Source organism: Homo sapiens, chromosome 3, assembly GCF_000001405.40.
Source record: "Homo sapiens chromosome 3, GRCh38.p14 Primary Assembly".
NCBI classification, from domain to species: Eukaryota; Metazoa; Chordata; class Mammalia; order Primates; family Hominidae; genus Homo; species Homo sapiens.
This window is the reverse complement of record NC_000003.12, coordinates 55,969,647-55,991,960: the sequence shown is the minus strand read 5'-3', so window position 1 is coordinate 55,991,960 and position 22,314 is coordinate 55,969,647. Positions and strand designations below refer to the sequence as shown.

General features: G+C 38.9%; 1 protein-coding gene across 21 annotated transcripts in view; it reads left to right on the top strand.

Annotated features, from left to right (window-relative positions):
- The window catches only part of ERC2 (ELKS/RAB6-interacting/CAST family member 2), a 960,157-nt gene that overhangs the window by 476,507 nt on the left and 461,336 nt on the right, over positions 1-22,314 (top strand). For 7 of the 21 annotated variants that reach the window (NR_132749.2, XM_017006151.2, NM_015576.3 and 4 more), the window contains one exon: positions 5,973-5,984. The exons of the other annotated variants lie outside the window; for them this stretch is intronic. Coding sequence is in view for 6 of the 7 variants with exons in the window: in XM_017006151.2 (XP_016861640.1) it covers positions 5,973-5,984 (12 nt within the window). In the remaining variant the exon portion in view is untranslated. The remainder of the gene's footprint in view (positions 1-5,972; positions 5,985-22,314) is intronic. 21 annotated transcript variants of the gene reach the window in all.

The window sequence follows — 22,314 nt, the reverse complement described above, 5'->3', positions numbered from 1 at the left end:
ATTACAAGTTAGAAACAAGTCATAAATGAGGAATATGGCCTGTGAAAGATGACGTTTCTGTGGAATACTAAGAATGCAATTGGCTTATCTTCTGAGGGATTATATACTTCTTCAGTGTTGAAGAAAATAGTGGTCAACTTTCTTGAGTGATGTCCATGATCTAGCGTTTTTCCAGCGAAGTGTGTAAGAAATTGGGGCTTTGACTACCCAAAACCTCAGTTCTTTTCCATCACAGGTAAATATTTGTGGTTTAGTTTTGTCTTGATCAAACAACAACAACACCACCACCAACACCAAAAACCGAAGAATATAGTTGGGAATTCTTCATTCAAGATAGCGGAAGAAGGAAGGAGCTCATATCCTTTGGATGTCTCTTGGCACATCATGACAAATTCATCCTGGAGGTTTATCTCTTAAGAGGACCTTTTAAATACATATACTTGAATAGGTCCTGCATGATAGCAAATTCTGTGTAAAAACAGGGAGTGTTGCATCAGAGTATTTAGATTTTCAGATAAATCATATCCGTATTGTATTTATGTATAGTGTGGATGCTAAAAATAAGCTTGCTATCAATGTCTTTTCCTGTACTTCATGTAAGGAAAAAACTTTCTGAAAAATCCTACATAACTCCATAACCTCTGCAGATTTCTTATTGGTTCAGCAGTAAGGCAGAATTTGTCTTTCCCAGATTCAATCCATATGGAAGAGATCACCAAATTTTGAATAAACCTGTGAATGTTAGCCAGCTTTGATCGAGACACTTGTGAGGCCCTAAAGGACTTCAAGACATACACAGAGTAGCTCTCTATCATCTTGTGGAAAGATCATGGGCTTCAGTGACAGAAAGACCTGAGTTCAAATTTTGCCTCTGCTTTTTGCCAGCTGTGCAGGCTGGAGTGCAGTGGCATGGTCACAACTCACTGCAGCCTCGAAGTTCTAGGCTCAAGTGATCCTTCTGCCTCGGCCCCCTGAGTAGCTGGGACTACAGGTGCACGCCACTACACCTGGCTAATTTTTAAAAATCTTTCGTAGAGATCAGGTCTCACTGTGTTACCCAGGCTGGTCTCCAATTCCTGGACTCAAGCAATCATCTGTCCTTAGCCTTTCATGGCCTTGAATCTTGTTAGAAGTGAGTGAATCTCTAACAACCTATTCAAATGATGCTTTGCAAGCAATTGGTCCCCAGGTAAAGTGGAACATGTATATCATTATGAACAAATGCTAAAACAAATAAATTATCAAGGCCAGATATGGTGGCTCGTATCTATAATCCCAGCACTTTGGGAGGCCAAGGTGAGAGGATGGCTTGAGCCTAGGGGTTTGAGGCCAGCCTGGTCAACACAGGGAGACCTTGTATCTACAATAATTAGCCGGGTATGGTAATGTGTGCCTGTGGTCCCAGCTACTCAGAAGGCTGAGACAGGAGGATCACTTGAGTCCAGGAGTTCAAGGCTGCAGTAAATTATGAGCCACTGCACTCCAGCCTGGGGTCAAGATTCCTCTCTCTAAGAAAAGAAAAAAAAATCTCAACTTTGTCTCTGTATTAAACAAGTAGGTTAATTTCCAATAAAATTTCAACATTTTCCGGTATAATATTTGGTACATTCAAATTCCAAATCAATTAATATTTCTCTTCATAATAGCATTAGTTTGATGATAATCTGATTTTTATTCATTGTGACCAATTTTAGCAGTAAAGTCAAGGATTTCATTTTTTTTTGAGGTAACTATCCCAAATAGAATCCTTAAAGGGCTTTGTTTTAATTTTAAAATGTGAGGATGTTCTGCTAGTCTGCTGGTTCTTAAAAAGTGGGGAGCACTGTGATTTTAGATGGATCTATTTTGGAACTACATTTTAGAACCAAAATTTTTCTTAGAAAAACTGACATGAGATCACAGGAAAGTTATGATCATGTCTCTTTCATTGATTAGGAAACTGAGATCTTGAAAAGTTAAATGACCTTCCTGAGATTGGGCCTGTAGTCAGAAAGATGTGAAACTGTAATATGGGTTTCCTGATTCCTAGTCCACTGCTCTGAGAAGTGGTGAGCTATGTGGAGGATGCCCTAGATAATAATATTAAAAATTATAGTAGTTTTATTTGTAATACTAGGGTATGTATATTGTATGTATATTCTATGCTCACTGTGTGCCAGGTACTCTGGGAAGCACTTGACGTGCAATACTGTGTACCTTTTAGTCTCACCCACAATACAGAAACTGTCATTATTCTCATTTTACAGATGAGAAACTATGATTTATACAGATTAAGTAACTTCCTCCAGGTTGCAGAGCTCATAAGAATCTAATCAGGATTCAAACTCAGGGCTGACAGATGAGCCATTGAGAACAATCCCTTCCGCTAATGGGCCAGAAGAAAGAAGCTAGTACAGCAGCACTAAACAGTCAAGCAGCCAGCATACAGCCTTCCTGAGCAGGCATTGCTGCTGGGCTGCAAGAGATCTACCTCTTTATTAGCATACAGGAGAGAAAGTGATGTGCTTCACGCTTAGATGGCATTTTTTCTATGCTAAACCAGCCCCCCAGAACTGTAATTGAAAATCAGGACAAGCTACTATAAACATTTACATATAAACAGCTTAATGGTCTAATTGGACAAACAGGTCTTAGCTGGACACTATTGCCTTTAAATCATCAAGAATATTCAGATTTTTATTTCTTCAATATGGAATGCATTAAAGCAGCAGTGATTTTACAGGCATTTATCTTTATGTACTTTCTGCACATTTTCTTTATCTCTGCCTTTGCCTCCCCTTAAAGCTGATGCCTCCCAGGCACTGTAATTCATAAAACGTGTGGTGGGACCTGAGTCTGTCCCAGTACTCTGCCTGCCCGTGTCTTGCGTCCAGCAGCAGAGCATTGTCTGGGAAATGTCTGAGCTTCAGCCCCAGCCCAGGCCCCTAAGGAGGTGGGGGTGGAGATTCAGAGGGGAAGTTTCTTGGGAAAAAAAGGGCTCAGCCTTGGCCTGCCTTTCTGAAGCATTATCTGCTGTGCTACATGTGTATTCTGACCAAAACATCTTCTTCCAGTTGTCAAGCAACCTTTTTCAAATTGGGCAATATTGTCATTTGCTGGATAAAACTACAAAATTCATACCTCACAATATTGACAACTAAAGAGTTCTTAGCAATGTGACATGTATCTCCATTTTGGAGCCATGGAGAAATGTTTGCAATTAAATTTGTAATTTTGAAAACCAAAAATTGAACTTGAAATAGATTTGTGGTCTCTGGCTTGTAATGTGACCTACCAGAGTGAAAGGACCTCTTTTAAAAGGAGGAAATGTTCTAAAATATTCCAGAACTTCAATTGTATGCAACAAAAGGTACAGGGTTAGGAATAACTCAGACAACCTTGACACTGGCCCCCTCCTCTCTCAGAAGGCAGTATGTGTTTACTTTCTATTCTGTTAATCTTCCCATTCCAGATAGCACATGGCTGGCATTTACACAATGCATTTACCTCTTAAATTCCATGTGCGTGGTGTTTCTCATCAGCCATTAAAGATTTTGCTTTTTAAAGTGCATGTTGCTCTAGTGTGGTCCCACGTGCAGTTATGCCTGTAAACTCTTGCACGGCCCAGTGGGGAGCTTCTGCCTTGGACTGCAGGCAGCTCAGGGGAGTTTGCTACTAGGTGGGTGGTGGGCCTTGAGCAAGTCTCTGAGAGTTGGTCCAAATTCAGCTGAAGTCTTTATTCCATCTCCAATGTCAGATGTCACGTATATTACAGAACCTAGTGTCTAATTAAACCTTAGAGGCAGTGAAATATGCAGTGCTTCTGTGTCAGTGCCCATCAAGGTCTCTGAGTTTTATTTAGAGTTTCAGAATTAATCCTTTGGTGACTTAGGGGAAAGAGAGAGGTTAATAGAATCTGTCAAGTAAGACCTGCTGCCACTATATTTCTCACATCCCGCCCATGGGAAGGAATCAGTTTGGGTGACCTTTCATGTAATTATCTTAAATATGTTAGGGATTTTGTTGGTATTTGTCTAGAGGATGGAGAATGCCCAAATTGAGCCCTCAATCACATACCTCCCCAATGCGGAGAGGAGGCTGGATCCCTGGGGGTTCCACTCGTAAGACATAACATCAGAATGGAAAACAGCCTTCCACTTAATTATCTGGTTGGAGAAATAATATCACCAGACATTTGGACACTGAGAAATCATTTTAGATGCCTAAAAGAGCCTTATCTAAGTTTGAGGAAGAGAATGTTATTTTTTCTTCTGATTTGCTCAATAATGTACTAACATAATTTCCTTGATGCCTTTCAGAGCTCCATTCAAAATGTAAACTTGAGCATTATTATTATTTTTAAATTATGATAATATCTTTTAGAAGTTTCATGGTACATGGAAAAAACTTGATGCCAGTTTTATTTGTTTTGATATAAATGTTTCTTGCCGAGTAATTTTCACTTACATTTGTTAATGTATTTGAAAGAATTTCTTGAAAACAAGTGGCAGATGGCTATATGCCATTCCTAGCAACTTTTTGGGGAAGGTCACGGACATCACAGACACCTTTGAGAATTTGATGAAAACTGGGAGCCCTTGAAAGAGGCAACTACATCTGAAATGTGTGCTTGCTATTTCAGTTTAGGATTTCCTAAGGCTTGGCCACAGACCTTGATTTAATTACCTTTGATCCAGAAGGATTTGAAATGGCAGCTTGGGCCAGTGTTGCCAAAGTCCCCACAGTGATCGTGTCCTGACATAACTCTCATTTTAGATCAGTTGCGCATTTATGATCACAAAACACTCTGCAGGGGGATTTCAGATACAAGGGATTATCAAATCAACACTTTCCCCGTGTGGTTAATCTTAAATTTTCTCTTTCAGTTGTATCATTGTAATCAACACTGTTTTCATTTGAAATGTTCTAGCTTAAGCTTTATCCTGAGGATTTATTTTATTTTGTTTTGTTTTTCCTTCCCATGTGAAATACCTAAAACTACTTTTTTATAGTATGGAATGGTGGGGCCCCATTGAGCAGAAAGCTGGAAAAGTATTTGTTTATCCACTTTGTTTTTGCAAAGGGCATTTTACAGATCAACAAAATGAATGTCCACTATGTGCTCCTATAGTAGCCTGGAAGATGAATATGGTTTTTTGTTTGTTTGCTTGTTTTTATTTTTTTTGCTTGACAATAGAGATTATTGTTTTAACCAATGAGACGGACATGCTAGATATTTTTATACAAACAAATTAAAAAGTATTATAACTTGATATTTTCAGTAATGAAGTCGGAACTTCGTATTTCTGACTGAAAAAAATCACTCTCAGCTTGGAAAGTTACTCTGTCCTTGCTGCGGAAGCTGATAGGTGGGTGGCACACCACCAAAAGCCCTCCTCAGGGGGTCTTTGATCATTGCTATGTGCAGTGCTCTGTAAGCATCTAAAATGGAAATCTTTGAACCGAAAGCCAAATTGCTCAGCTCCTTTTGGTTTTCAAGGATGAAGGAAAAATATCTCATAGGATATAACCATCCAACTTACTGGTTCAAATAAAAATCTTTCTGACATGAGCACTTACCCAGGTCTAATACCTTAGTAGTTTCCATTTCAGTTTATTAAATAATAAAATTTTATATGCACACAGATAGGAACTTTCTCTATAAATATTCCTCCAGAGAAGGGCTGATGCTGTCATTGTACTGTGGGAGCACACCTCTGGTTCACATCAGTGCTTTTTGTAATTATACATATCAGAGCAGCTACCAGTTTCTTTGGTATGATATTTAATACAACAGCTTACAGTGTGTGCCCAGGGCTTTTGGGGGTAATATAAGATAAAAGTTTGCTTCGTTTAGTTATAAACCTGCTGATATAACATCTGTTGGCTATATGTTTAAAACTAATGCATTTCCTTCCTTTTATTCTCTTTTGCTATCCCTTTTCCTTTCTGCTTATCCTCCAAATTGCTGCTTTCACCCTTGCTCCAATCAGCTTGACTCTCAGGTCAGTAATTTCAGTTTTTCTTCTAACTGCCTTTCCCTCCTAAGCTCAATTTATGGCTTGCACTTGTTTAACAAACACATTTCTGAAATGGTTTTCCTCGGGCCACTGCATTTCCCCCCGCTCATTTCATTCCATGCCTTGGGAAGGTTTATTTTATGAAAAGGATGTATAGGTGGGAAAAGGCAAGGAAAAAGATGGAAATAAGTCAGTGTTGGATTATTTAATTCTATTTCTGGATTATAAAATCCATGAGAGAAATTTTCATGATAACTCCCCAGTGCATTTCTCCTGAGCAGTTCAGAAAATTGACTGCAGGATGATACAACGTGGAGCCATGGATAAAAACATAATGCAGGATGCTGAATTTAACCTAGGAGAACAAAATATCTGCCCATGACACAGCAACTTAAAAGCTAAATTTAACAGTGCAAACTGTTCAGACTTTTCATTTAATAAATCACTGTGTTCTGAAAGATGTATAATACTGTTTAAAAAGTCACTTTTGAAAATTATCAATGTGTTAGTAACATATTGTACACACATGTTATTTCCTGACATTGTTTTGGTTTTAACTTTCTAACTTCAATTTTATTATCCATAAGGCATACTTTAATTACCTAGGGCATAGCATATGGAACCAAGTGTAAGACCTGATTCATTGTTGACTGTGTGTACCCCAATATTAAGAAATGAAATGGGCGTTTTGTCTGAAAATGCATCCCAGGCTTGATTCCTCCAATGTAGGAGGCCCAAGCCCATAATTTCTTCTTCCTTAAGTCAAGGACAACTTCTCTTTCCAATAAAACATAGTAATATGTAGTGATTTCTTTATCATTCAATCAATGAGTTTACTAAAGGATGCTCATTCTAGGATTTGAGGCTATCTAAACTTCAAAAAAAGAAAGCATCACATCAATGTGGCAGTCAGTATAGTTGCTCTATTGAGAGGCAAGCGATAATTATTTTCTTCTCTGTACACAGGGTCTGCAACCCTTTATTCTGCCCCATCACCCAAACCACCAGGCCAATCCATTGACTACAGTACCAAGTTATTTCAAAACAAGGCATGTCTTTATACACAAACCTGCTCATCTACTGATTTTGTCCCACTGCTGGCTTCCAATCCTGGTGGCTCATAGTCCTTGAATACTTCTCTGCCACTCTCACATACCACACTGCGTATCCCCCAAGAACTGCCTGAACTTCATCGCGGTGCAGGAAAGCGTCATTCTCAAAAGTTCCAAGAGATCTGATCAGAGATTAAAAGCATGGCCCCCAGAGAACTGCTCTTATTCTCAAATTTAATGACTCTTAATTTACTTTCTGGAGCAGAACAAATCTGGTGCATCTGTGTGCAGAAACACAGACATCATAATGGGCGGTAGGGAAGGGTGGGATGGGGAAGGCTTAGAAACATGCATCCAAACCTTTTCTCCAAGTTTTTGATTCACTCATTTAATGAAGCTTCAAGCTTTTCTCCTTGCCTGCCTGTATCCCCCTCCTTTTGCCTTCCCTTTGCTGCCCTAACCTGTACCTCTTAATATTGAAGCACTTGAGATCCAGGGATCCCTTTTGCTCCCACACCTCAAGCTTCCTGTCAGGGCCTTTAGTTTTTTACCTATACACTACTGTGGTTTTTTATGCTCTAGGAACTTATTGTGTGGTAGTTTTTTTGTTTTTTTTTTCCTATTTCATGGTGAAAGAACATGAACTCTGACTCTCAGAAGACAGGGCTGGAAGGGGTGATGGATGTCCAGTGGTTCTCTGGACAAGGGGCAGGGTGTGTTGATAGGATGTGGCAAAATGCACATGCCAAATCTAGTTGGATGAACTATAGGAGTTACATCAAGGTTCATATCATTCCAATATCATTTAACCTGTTGCCTCAAATGAACATGATGAAAATGTGCAATCATTGTGAATAATCATCTCTGGTTATATTTTTAGTGTAGGAAGAATTGGGCAGCTCTGCCCTCTTGGAAACAAAAAGTCTTTAGAGTCCTAGAAGCTTTGTTCAACTTTGACAAGTTTCCAGAATTAACTGTGCTTTATTCCCAATGACTTCCAGGTTTACCAGTTAAAATAAGATAAAATGTAATAATTGAACTGAATGCAGGATCTCTGACTATGTACTTTCTTTATATGGCATACAGTTGAGATACATATGTATGTGTGTGCATATATGTATATATATGTGTGTATGTGTATACACATATCATGTATTTTAGAAAAATTGTATCTAGTCTTTCTTACCATAGTTTATGGTTTGCCCTGCACATCCCCACCTCCTAATCTGAAGTTTGGAAACTGCAGTAACTCTTGAGACTTTTCTGTGTGCTGTGGACTCCATGGGAAGTTCTCCCTCCAACTACTTTTTCAGATGACTTCATTTCCTCTTCAAACTCTATGTAGACTCTCATGCTTAAATTCAGGTGGACAGATATTAAGTACTGGGTTTGGTAAAATGCAAGCATCATATTCCAAATCTGTTCAGGTCTCCACTCCAGTAAACTCCATGTCTGTCAAGAATGTCTTCATACACAAACAGGTGGGAAGCTGGAGAGGTTTGTCAGGATCTCTGTATTGTACTCGGGGGAGGGTTTACGTGAAACTTTTATATTTCTAGTAACTATTTGTGAGATTAGCATGTGACTTATGACAGATGAGGTTATCTCCAAAAATGTATGCAGCAATTGACTAAAAAAATAAAAAGTATCCTTTGGGATTCAGTTCAAAGTCCTGCCAGAGAATCAACCAAGTAAAACCAGAAGACATAGACTTCTCCCAGGCCCTCTCGGTCTTCAGCCCACTTTGGATCCCAGGTCAGCTGATTCCTTGTTTGGGCCTCAGTGTCCCCTCTTGGAGAAGAGGGAGCCATCTTTGGAGCAAGTCTTCTGGGATCCTGCCTGCACATGGGCATCACCTGTTTGATGAAGGGGCTGTTGGTGATGGACCGCGTGCACTGCCCTGCAAGCAGGCTCAAGCTGATGGCTGGCGCCTGGCAGCAGGCGTGAGCTCGTTATTATAGAGTCACTTCAAACACTTGTACCAAAATAAACTCTTTGTGATGTTTCCCCAAAGCTGAACACTGTGTTTTCAATCCCTCATTCTTCTAGCAAAAGGTGAAGTCACTCCTCCCAGAACTCAGAGGTCTGTTGCCCAAATAAATAATGAAAAACACCTTTGCCAGAGCATCCCTTTAGTGTCCTGCAATTTGTTCTTTGCTAGGGTCAGTATTTTGCCCCATTCCCTCCACAAATATATAGTGAGTGCCTACTGTGTAATAGGCTAGGCACTGTGTGCTGGCCCAGCATTTCCAAAAAATACCTGACGAAAAACTGACCAAACCATTTAAGAAATGCGGTGTGACATTTTTCTTTTTTATATTCATGACATAGGTTGATAACAATAATAATAATAGAAACAACAGGAGCAGAAGCAGCAACAGTAATACATTTGGTGTTAATTAAGTGCCAGCACTGAATTAATTACTTTTTTTTTTTAGTGTTCTTTTTAATGTTCACTTCTCATAACAACTGAGGTTGGGACTATTATTTTTTTTCCATATTAGGTAAGAGGAAACGTGTTCATCAAAGTTGAACATTGTGCTAAATTTATACAGTTAGTAAGAAAAGGCATTGGTTTTTTTACCCCCTAAATCAATCCATTTTGATTTACAGATGGGATCTTTTGCCACTTCTGCTCCAGTTGCATAGTAAAAGCACTGAGAAGGTCTGCAGTAAGGAAACCTGTGCAGTTCTGTTCAATCCTCGGTTTTCTGAATATGGTGTTCATTGAATATATTCCATGAAGCACTTTGGGGAAAAACTGTCCTGCCAGCTGTGCAGCCAGCCTCTCCTTTCATTCTGAGATTTATCTCCCCTCTCCAGCCAGCCTCTCCTTTTATGCTGAGATTGAATGCCTCTGGTTCTTCCTGTACAGATCCTGCCCCTCTAAAGCCAGGGCAGGAGTTGCCTCTTCCACCAAAGCCTTCCCTGAGCCCACTGACTGTGTGGGCTCTGTACAGTGTGTTGTGCCACACATGGGAGGCGGCAGTCATGCTCTTTAATGCTGTTGAACAAAGGAGCAACCATTGGGTTTGTCTCACCCCACTCTTTCTTTTCTTTGTCCCCATGGAGAGTTGCTGGGGCTCTTTCTGGAAGCTGAGTTGTCTACACTGGATGTCATGTCTGGCTTCAGACATGAGGCCCTGAGAAAAGATGTCATTGGTTTTCTATCAAGTCGAATGCTTGTAAGTTCAAGAAAAATGAAGACAGAAATAAAAGGAGAGGGGAAAAGATCTTCATCTGAACTTCTCTCACTTTCAATCCCTATTTCCTTCTTTTCCTCTCTCTCCCTCTCCTCCCCCTCCTCCTTCCTCTTCTTCCTTGACTATTCATTGAAATCCTTCTGCAAGTGAGAGTCTGTGCTGGCTGGGTGTTGGGGATATAGCAGTAAAACTGACATGATCCCTCCCCTCACCAAATTCAGAGACCAATACTTCCTGTAAGGAAGAATTTGGCCACTAAGAAAAATAATTTGTATCAGTTATACTAATAATTGGAAAAACCAGGTTTCAGGTGTGCTTTTCCCCCTTTTTCCTGTTGGGGTTGAAGGGGTTATCCACAGGTCAGAAAATTATATCCTTCTTTAAAGCTGCCTTATTCTAATGCTGACATTTCTGGTGAAGTGTCAGAAAATTTTATGCCCAAGCAAAACTGGTAGAAAGCCAGAAATCGGCTGATTTTGCTTTAGGTGCAAATATTTTATTGGGGATGGAAAAAAGTTGTTTTCCCTGATTTATAACTCCTGCAGACATAAAGTGGGTTCTATATTTAGAAATGGTTTTGAACCCTTGAGGCGTAGCCAGGGATTGGTGCTTACACCTTTCCGATCCTAGCCTTGGTGGGACTTGCCATGACTAATGTTTTGCTGAGCCAGCTCCGATTTATAGAACTAGGGCTTTATGCTGCATGTTGTTTTTCTCTTTAGCTTTTGCTTGAGTTGCTGTTCTGGCACTCTATACCCTCTAGAATGGTGAAGACTGAAGGAACACAATTGGCACTGTAGTTGAAACGTTTTATAGTTCAGTGTGTGTCTGAGATTCCTTGGAGAAACAACAACAGCAAAATTGAAGGATGGCCCCAGGTAGGCCTTATAAGTCATGACCCAGAATAAGAGATACCAAGTCGGTAAGAGTTAATCATTCATCTGTACTTTTTTTTTTTTCTAAAACCTTTTCTTTTCCCTGTTTCTCTCATCCTCTTGGCTTTTGGTTGGTACTACCATATGGATGAATATCAGCAAATAGTAAATCTCTCAAGATGTGTTAGCTTTTTCTGTAAATGCTGAGAAGGGGAAGGAATTTAAAAAAATAGTTTCTTAGTATTATTATAAATCACTTTCTAGAAAAATAATATCTTATTTCCTTTATATGGCTTTTCTTATGAAATGTGAATTCTATCACTTCATTATGCACAATACTAGCTCAGGTTGTAGAGAAACCCAACCATCCTGTGACTGGACTTTCTTCCATATTGGGTGAAGGTGCTTGGAATTTCCACACTGTGTAGTGTCACATCTTTGTGAAGTCTACATTTTGGGGGGACCTATTTAAAAATGAGTGGGCACTGTGTATGTTTGTCTGAGGAAAATACATTGTTGTTACGTATAACAAATGCTTTCGACATTTTTTTTGTGGAGGATTTTGATGATTTTAATATTTGCTGCTCTCTCATTTTACTCTAGATTCAGAGTAATATTAAGCTAAATAGATGTGAAAAATAAAACAGAACCCAGAAATCAGCTGATTTTACTTTGGGTACAACTATTTTATTGGGGATAGACAAAAAGCTTTTTTTTTTTTTTTTCTAATTTACACTTCGTGCAAACATAGTGGGTTCTATAGAATTATTTTTGCATAAGAACTTTAGTTTTAGAAATTGTAGACTGTGTTTGGGGATGGGAATAAATTTTCCCTTGAAGAGCCTCTATGGTTCCTTAAAAAAAAAAAAAAAAGAAAAAAAAAGAAGAAGAGATAGGGTCTCGCTCTGTTTCCCAGACTGGAGTACAGTGGTGTGATTGCAGCTTGCTGCACCCTTGAACTACTGGGCCCAGTGATGCTCCCTCCTCAGCCTCTCAAGTAGCTAGAACTACAGGCCTACCACCATGCACAGCTAATTGAATTTTTTTTTTTTTTTGCAGAGGTGGGGTCTCACTATGTTGCTCAGACTGATCTCAAACTCCTGGTGTGGCTCCTTTTCCAGTCCAAGAACAGTGAGACTCATGTTTTAACTCCAGCTTGCAGATTGACGTTCTCATCCAGCATTTTTGTAGATTGGTAGCCATGTTAATATAAGTACCTCTCTTACTGGCATATACGGAGCTGTATGTACAATAATTTATGCTTTTAAGTAACTTTTTTCAGTGAAAGGTGTAAAGTGTGTGATTCTCACAGTGTTTTGATGGAATGTACTATTTCTAGTGAGATTCCACCCATAATTTTGAAGACATAATGGTGAATATTAGCAAGTCTTGAGACATTTTAACCTGGGATGAATGCAGGATTTCATACATAGAATTGCTTGGCAAATTTTTACTTTAGGTCCTGGGAAAAATCCCTTTTTCAGGTTTTGAGAACATAACCACCACCCGTCTCACATGGGAGCATGAAGTAACGAAATAGTCTCTCACCAGCCATTGGTGTTGGTCAACTGGAATATTCTCGTGGCTGAACAGATCTTGATGTGATGTGTGAGTTGAAGTGTAAGAGAGTGGTTTTAAATTTAACTGCAGAGCCCTCTGCTATTTAATCATATGTCAGTTTGATGGTTCCAAGGGCAGCATGATATGTTGCTCACAGATAATTACCGTGGAGAGAATGAGTTGGTTATAATAATGAATAACTGAAGAATCTTCTGATAACCTGCGATGAATGGGCCTTGGTGAGAAACACTCACTGGGTAATTGGCAGATAGGTGTCCTATCGCCTTGCTGAGTGTGGGTGCTCTTCTGCCACCTAAATACGCAAAGCAGGGGCTTTTTAGGGATTCCTAAGCAGATAAAGAAGCAGTGTTCTAGGATTTCACTTGTGTTGTCTCTCACAGACCTATTATTAGTTTATATTAATATTTCATTCACAGTCCAAGTTATTCAAGACATTATCTATTGTTAGAACATTCAGTGTAGAAAACTAAATAGACTACCTCCTAAGAAACAACATCATCATTGCTATAGCACTTGGGACACAGTACTTCCTTTCTTTAAGCCTATCTCTGTATCTGTAAAGTGGAGACAATTATATTATAGCTTACCTCTCATGTGCATGTGGTTGAGATGCACACTGAGCGTGGAACACAGTCAAGGCACATAGGAGATGCTCAGTAAGTGGCAGTGATTGTGGATGTGACAAAGATTTTCATGCCAAGAGTAACAGGTGAGAGTAGGGAGTTGATACGAGAGAGAAGCCGGCTGCCTCCGTTGCTTTTCTAGTTGTAAAAACCTGAGTTGCCAGAATAAAGACTTTAGACATTTTCTCCCAAGCCATTGAGAGATTTTTGAGGAAAAGGTTGAAAACAGAATCCTGCTGCATGCTTCCCTTGACCCCAGGGATATGAATAAGTGAACATAGAAAAATGAACTTATGCTTATTGAAAAGTAATCTTTATATATAAATATGTAAACTAATTCATACAATCCTTGTTTGTCCTATATAAGGACTTATTTTAAATTTTCCTGGAACTAGAGATCCAGGATTCAGCTACTGCCTTTCTGTATTCATGTATAAAAAGATCTGATATTGCGTTTAGAGGATGGGCCAAGTATTTAAGTGTGTTCCTTAAACATTTATCTCCTTTATTCGTTAACTTATTTGCTTTCATCAAATAGTGATGGTATGTCTGCTCTGTATCAGGCACTGGGATGTAACTGGCACTACACCCAGAAGCAGCATCGTGAGAGACAGAAGCAGATCCGTAGTATTTATAATATGATATCTGTGCAAGTGGTATAATGTAATTCACACTGTTCTACACCTTGGCTTTTTTTTCTTGGCAAACTATTTTGGAGATCTTCCCATATCTATACCTAAAGGCTTTCTACTCTTTTTCACCTCTGCATACTATTTAATTGAGTCTGTCTCCTTTTGAAGGACTTTTAGGTTGTTTCTAGTCTTTTCCTCTCATGCAGTCTGCTATAATTAATAACTTTGAATAGACTTGATTTCAAGTGTATGTGAATATATCTGTAGGATAAATTCCTAAATGTGGAATTGCTAGGGTACTATGCTTATAATTTTTCTAGATTTTACCACTCGTCCTCTACAGAGGCTAAACCATTTACAGACCCATCAACAATGTGTAAGAATGCCTCTTTTTCCATAAACTCTGCCAGTGCAATGCGCTTTTCAAACTTTATCTTTGTTAATATGGTAGGTGGAAAATGACCCTTAAGTGCAGTTTTGATTTGCTTTTATTTTATTACAAGTGACAATAGACATGTTTAAATGTGTTTATACTTTGTCATATTCTTTTATTGGTCTTTTTCTTATATATTTGTAAGAGCTTTTTATATATTAGGAAAATGATACGTTTGTCTTTGATCTGACATTTGTCACTTTTCTTTTATTTGGCTAATGGTGGTTTTTGTTATGCAGGTTTTCTTTACAAAATTATTTTACATAGTCAAATGTATTCAGTCATCTCTTTTATGTCTTCTGAATTTTGTATCATACTTAGAAGCCCCTTCCACACTACAAGACTATAAGAACAATTGTCCTGTGGTTTCTTTTAGTAATTTTATGATTTGTGTCTTAGTCTGTTCAGGCTGCTATAACAAAATATAAACTGGGGAGCTTCTGAACAGTGGAAATGTATTTCTCACAGTTCTGGAGAGTGGAAAGTCCAAGATCAAAGGTACCAACAGATTCAGTGTCTGGTGAGCGCCTGCTTTCTGACTCATGGATAGAGCCTTCTCTCTGTGTGAGAACAAGGTGGAAGGGGCAAATAGGCTCCCTTTGACTTCTTTTATAAAGGCACTCATCCCATTGCTAGTCACCTCCCAAAAGGCCCCACCTCCTCATACGATCACTTTGGAGGTTAGGATTTCAATGGATGAATTTTCTGGGGACACAGTCTCTTAGTATTTTTATGTTCTGATTTTCTGCATTTAAGTCTTTGAACCACATGGAATTTATCTTAGTGTGAGGTATGAAGCATGGATATAAATTTATTTTTTTTCCTAGGCCAAGTGAACTTTAAATGTCACTTTCATCATTTGCTCTTCACTGGAGCTAGACAGGCCCAAGTTAGGTTTGTCTAAGTTCACGTAGTTTCCCACTAGAAAATAGGGCACACTCTTACTTGCTTGTTCAATATCTGTCTTTCAGTCTAGAGTAGAACTTTGATCTAGAAAGGACCTGTCTTATCCAACCAGTGCCTGCAAAAATAGTAGACACTTAATAAACATTTACAGAATGAAGAAATAATGTGAGTTGTAAAGAAATGGAGTTATAAGGAGGTAGAAATTATGCGTAATTTGAAGCTGTAAAAAAGGCATTCGGAGTGGAATGTGAGTCATCAAGGCAGTGATGGAGGGGAACCAAGTCAACAGGGGGTGAAAGGTGAGCCAACTCTTGCTTCATGAGACAATAAAACAACCCTGGGTCCAGAGTCACCTTGGACCCAGGATGGGTTTTCCGTACTCTTCTCTGTGAGACCCAGAAGGAATATAATTTTCTTCTTTTTCCTCTTGGGAAGGCCAATTTCTCAGATTTCCTTGGTTTCGGTGAGACCCACCTGTATAATCGAGATCCCTGGCTAACTGTGGCAGGATGTAGGAACAAGTATGGAAAATATGACCAGAGTTAAGAACAAAGAGATCTTGGCCAGGCTGTGTTTTAGATGCTTTGGGATCGCTAGGTAGCCCTGCCCAGTAGGCAGATTGGAATGAAAATCTGAAATTTGGCAAAGAGGCATTACCCATGGCGCAGGGTGACAAATTCTATATGAATGTCATGGACATTCAGAGGAGAGAGGAGTTGGGAAATTTCTATGAATGTGGTGGTATTTGTGCTGGACTAGAAAAATGGAAAAGATTTTACCAGATGTAGAACTAGATGGGGAGCCTAAGCAATGGCAAGAGAGGTAGGAAGATAGAAGGCATGCTCAGAAGAAACGGGGCTGTCTGTAGCTTAGACTCTGCGGTAGGGAGAAGAAGGGCAGAAAGGGCTGATCAGGACAGAGGAAAGCCTTGAGTACTGAGATAAAAGATTTTGAACTTTTTGAGCCTGGGATGAACATAACGAGGAGTATCTTCTGGGAGGATTAATCCTGAACCATCTCTGTGCTGGAGAGATAGGCAGTAGCCCAAGCTAGAAGCAATAATGATGAATAAGAAGACACAGTTTTAGGGGATGTAGGGATAATTAATGAAATTTTTTTAAAAGACAAAAGTACAAAAATCTTCAGCCTGTATCTCTATCCTCCTTGTTTCCAGAAGAACAAGGCCATGTTTCCACAACAGCCAGCAAGACAGAAGAAACAAATAAACAGACAAAAAAACCTAGCTACTAAGAGAGCAGGAAGAAAATAAAGGCATGGTGGAAGAAACTATGGAAATTGGAAGAAACTATATGGAATATGGAAACTATATGGAATATGGAAGAAACTATAGGAAATTATGTTCCTATAATTGCAGCAGAAATAAGAACAGGCTTTGTCGAGTACCTATTTGCTGTTAGCCCTGGTCCTATGCATTCTGCAAGGTTTAATTCATGTTTTTTTTTTTTATAGCAACTCCAAGACAGTAGGTGCTATTACTCAGTCCCATTTTTGAGATCGGGAAACCAAGGCTCAGGGAAGTTAAGTAACTTGTCCACTCTTATACAGCTATTAAGTAGTGGAGCCAGGATTCAAACTTAGCCATTTCGGTTCCAGGGCCAGAATCATAAACACTGTGTCTGATTCCAAAGCAAGGCTTTTTGTGCTAGTATGAATTGGTTTGGCTCAAGCACTCCTGGGACCATAGGGACTACTTTTTAATGTGCTTCTTTTGGGGTGGAAAGCTATTTCTATAATACAAAGGATTCCAGGCGTTGATGAAAACCTCTTATAATGGAAGTTGAGAAGCTGTTTGTGTTGGCAGTTCTAGCAGCTTTTTTGAGCTGCTGGTCCGAGTCTTTGCCCTCTCTTGAGCCGGAATGTGAAATTCCTGTTTTTGAAGTGAGTTTGAGTGGGCCTGGTGAGTGGGCCTTCATGGAGGCAGTGGCTTCGTAGACTGGAGACAGTCAGCTCTGGATGCGCTTCAAGGATCGTGGACGGCAGAGATGGGGGAAGACCTCGGTCATCCATCCTTCTGCCTGCTTAAGATGGTTCCCTGCGGGGAATTCTGGGGAAGCAGCCAAGAGAAAAGATGTATTTCCAGGAGGGGTTTTATGCCTGTTCCAGGAATCATTTTTTGGGACAGTTCTTCATGGCCCCACACAGTGTGATTAGAGAACCGCAGCAGCATCAAAGCCGAAAAGAAATGAAGGCCTTTGTTTTGATATATGATGGTTTTCCTTTTGGAAAACAACTCTCTGAAGGGGAGATGGACTTCTCTGCAGCACAGTATCTGTATCTGCCTTGATCTTGTCTGATACAAGTGGGAGTGCTGGCAGCACATAACGAAGACAAGGACTGAGAACTCAAACCACGTATTAGCCCCTGTCCGGCTAGTAATCACACTGTGGAATCGTTCCTTCCTCATCGTTATGTCAGGTCAGAGGGTAGGTATCATGCCATCAAGATGTAGCATCTTCCTCCTACAGAGCTTAGGTGTTTTTTATTTTTTTCCTTAAACTTTTAAACTTTAAACTTTTAAGCTGAGATTACTTTGTCGGTATGCCTGATAGAAAGGATCTGTGCTGGCTTCTCAGTTCTCCCGGCTGCTAGAGAGAGTGGGATTTCTTTCCTTGTTTTGTTTTTCAGTTTGTTTGGTTTCTCTTCTCATCTCTGATAGACATCTTACTTTTATATAGTTTTCTAAAATTAAAATGTTTGGGTAAAGTGACTAACTAAACTTCCCTACATTTTAAATGCTATTTTTAGGCTGTTTTTATCATACGATCAACTAAGTTTTGTAAAGTTTAAAAACACACAAGACCTTTCTAAAACCCTATATTACCTCTGTATTTTTAATGTAATTTGGGGGAAAAATAATTCTAAGTGCCTTTCTTGGAAAACTGCACTCTCATTTGTTAAGCAGTTTTAATGGGCCAGTGTCTGTGCAAAACACTGGTGTGCAAGAATTTTTCTAATCCCAACAACCCTGGAAGGGTAGTATGATTTGCAATGGGCATATGACTAAACTGAGGTTAGTGAGGTTATTTGTAATCTGCTCAAGGTCACTCTGGATTTGAACCTAGATAATCTCAAGAGCAAGGGGCATGTGGGAACAGGCACACATGGATATTCCCTTGCATGGCATCATAAAAACAATTTTAAAAAACTTATTCTGAAGGCAGTGGGGAACAGGATTGTGTTTTAGAAAGATGTCTACCTGTTACTTCCCATGCAACCAAAATAGGACTCATCACCACTTCTTTCACTCATCCTCCCACTACTCTATATATTTGGCACTTAGGTGTGGAAGTGGCACAACGTTCACCTGTTTATCTAAGATAGAAAACTCTAAGTGGCCTGTAGCTCATCCCTCACTGTAACTAATCCAACAGATTCCATTTCTTTCCTTTTGTTTCCCCACTCTCAATGTTGCTGTCCCACTTGGTAATTTGGACAATTGCAGTAGCCTCCAGAGAGTCACAATCTGTCCCAGTCTCTGTCCTCTACTCCAGATAAAATCAGTGAGGCAACACCCTGTGTCTGGAGGCCCCTGTTCCCTCCTCCTCGCAGGATGGGCAGAATATCCAACTCCACCTCCTGGCTTTATAAGCTCTTCACAATCTGGCCTTGAGTTGTTTTCAAGTCTCATCTTAAACCCTAAGTACATAAAATGTCACTCTACCCCCTCATTCCCCATTCAGTGTTTGCCTTCACCCAATGTTTTCTCATTGTTTGCACTTGACAGACCATTCCCATCTCTCTATATTGGAGCATACGTTTCCCATTGCCTAAATGGCCCTTTCTTTCTATATACCTGCAAACCTCTATACATCCTTGAAGTTCAAATTTAATGTTACTCCCTGATTTCTCTCAAAAGACGATAGTTCCACCTGGTCTGCTATAAAGACACATGCACACATATGTTTACTGCAGCACTATTTACAATAGCAAAGACTTGGAACCAACCCAAATGCCCATCAATGTTATACTCGATAAAGAAAATGTGACACATATACACCATGGAATACTATGCAGCCATAAAAACAGTGAGTTCATGTCCTTTGCAGGGGCTTGGATGAAGCTGGAAACCATCATTCTCAGCAAACTAACACAGGAACAGAAAACCAAACACTGCATGTTCTCACTCATAGGTGGGAGTTGAATAGTGAGAATCCATGGACACAGGGAGGAGAACATCACACACCGTGGCCTGTTGGGGTGTTGGGGACAAGGGAAGGGAGAGCATTAGGACAAATATCTAATGCATGTGGGGCTTAAAAACTAGATGATGGGTTGATAGGTGCAGCAAACCACCATGGCACATGTATACCTGTGCAACAAACCTGCACGTTCTGCACATGTATCCCAGAACTTAAAGTAAAATTTTAAGAAAATCACAAATAAAAAGCATTTTGTTATCATTTCCCAGCTCCATGTTTCTCCCTTTCACTAAACTTTGAATGGTCTAATGATAAAGATGATAACTTCTTTGTTTTTGTGTTCTCAATGCCTGACCCATGGCTCATGTTTCAGAAATATTTTGTTGGATGACTAGGTGGATGGATGGATGGAAGGATGGATGGAATGATAGGTACATAGATTGGCATCAGGGAAGCCAAATGGGAGCTATTTCAGTGTCTGGACAATGAAAACAAAGGCATGAACTGAGCTAGTATCAATAAGAATTGAGAGGAGGTAACTATTTTGATAGATATTTTAAATTAAAATGGTAGAGCACAGTGATCTATTGTGTGTGATGTTCTGGGAATATGGAAGACTCACTCCTCTTTGACTCCCAATCTTGGGTGGTTTAATGAAGATAAAGGGTACAGAAGAAGGAGGGTGATTTTGGCTATGAGGAGGCAACAGTTGAGATTTTAATTTCAATATATTAAGATGTATGTAGGATATCCAGGATTGTTCAACAGACATTTGAAAATTTGAGAAAGGTACTGATCCTTACTCCTCCACCACCCAGAGGGTGATTTCAGTTCCTTTCTGGCATTCCTTCTTTCAGCTCCATTCTCTCTCTCCAGCCCCCTTCTTCATACCCCAATCTATATGTTACTGACATGGAAAGATGTCCAAGACATACTGTAAAATGTATAGTATTGTCCACTGTATTTTTAAAGATGTGTCTATGCTTGCATTATGCCTAAAAAATTTCTAGAAAGATTGACAGAAAACCCTTAACAGTGAGAGTGGTTTATTGGGGAAGATGGAGGGACAATATAAGTTTTCTTTTTATAAACTTTTTTATAGCATTTAATTTTTTATTACTAGCATTTGTAATTTTTTAATTAAGATATATTTGCATACCATAAAATTCACCCTTTTAAAGTGTATAATTAAGTGATTGTTGGTATATTCACAAGGTTGTGCAACCATCACCACCCTCTAATTCTAGAATTAAAATTTAATCACCCCAGAAAGAAACCCCATACCCATTAGCAGTCACTCCCCTCTCCCTCATTTATTCCCTCTTTCCCCCAGCCCCTGGCAACGACTAATCTAAGTATTTGAGTATTTGAGACCTTTTATTTAATTGGGATTATATATTATGTGTTTTTGTGTGACTGACTTCTTTTACTTAGCATAATGTATTTGAGTTTCATCCATGTTATAGTATGTATCACCATCTCATTCCTTTCTATTGATAATATTCCATTGTGTGGGTATACCACATTTTGTTTATCTTTTCATCAGTTGATTGACTTTTAGGTTGTTTCCAGTTTTTAGCTGATATGAAAAATATTGCTATGGACATTCATGTGCAAGTTGTTGTTTGAATATATGTTTTCACTTCTCATGGCTGTATATCTGCAAGTGGAATTGCTGTGTCCCGTGGTAACTATGTTTAGCTTGTTGAGGAACTGCCAAATTGTATTCAAAAGTGGCTGTGCCATTTTACATTCCCGCTAGCAATAAATAATTGTTCTAAATTCTCTGCATTCTCACCAACACTTCTTCTTATTTTTCTTTTTGACCATAGCCATCCTATTGGGTATGAAGTGGTATCTCATTGTGGTTTTGATTTACATTTTTCTAATGACTAGTGAGATTGAAGATCTTTTCATGGTCTTATTGGCCATTTGTATATCTTATTTGGAGAAATGTCTATTCAAATTCTGTGCCCATGTTTAATTAGGTTATTTGTCTTTTTATTGTTGAGTTGTGGTATTTATATATTCTAGATGCTAGACCCTTATTAAATATATGACTGTTAGTTTTTCTTGTATATTAGTAATTTTTATTACTAATACTACTATAGTAATTAGTAATATTACTAATTAGTAATTATTAGTATTTGATATGTCCTTTTAAAATCCTGTTTAATACACAATACTAAATTTTTTTAATAAGTTGTAAAGGGAATAGTTTTAAAAATTTTGCTCTCAGAGAAAGTAAGTTGATTTGTGATTTGTTATTTGCGCTATTATAATTAAACATGTTGTTTACAAATAAATTACTAGCTGACAGCTTTATATTGGCACTGCTTTTTTGATGGTTCAATGAGGTACTACATTTTGCCAAAACTTTAAAATAAAGCGAACCTTGACCCCAAACATATATGCTCCTGCAACACACATGCGGCCATTTATATGAAATAAATGCTTCCTCTCTTTTGGTAATGTCTTAGTTACCTTTGAAATGGATGCTTACCTTGAATATTTGCTTAGTTTTTATGTCTACCAGTGTGACTGAACTTCAAAATTTGAGCTACTTCCAACCAAATAATTTGCCCATTTAAATGCTCAGGGTATGGCCTCATTTTATAGTGCCATAAAATGAAATTTAAAAAGCCTCTCCAGAGAGCTGTGATTACCATTTTTTTCTTTAGTTGTTAGCCAAGCTAATAAATATTCTTAGCAGTTCTGTCATCGTATGTCATATAAAACTAGATCTAATGATCAAACCTAAGAGAGGATCCCAAGCACTACAGCCTTCTGTGTGGCTCTAGAGGAAGAAGCAATTCACCTGATCATTAGACCCTTGGGTTTTCGGAAGCA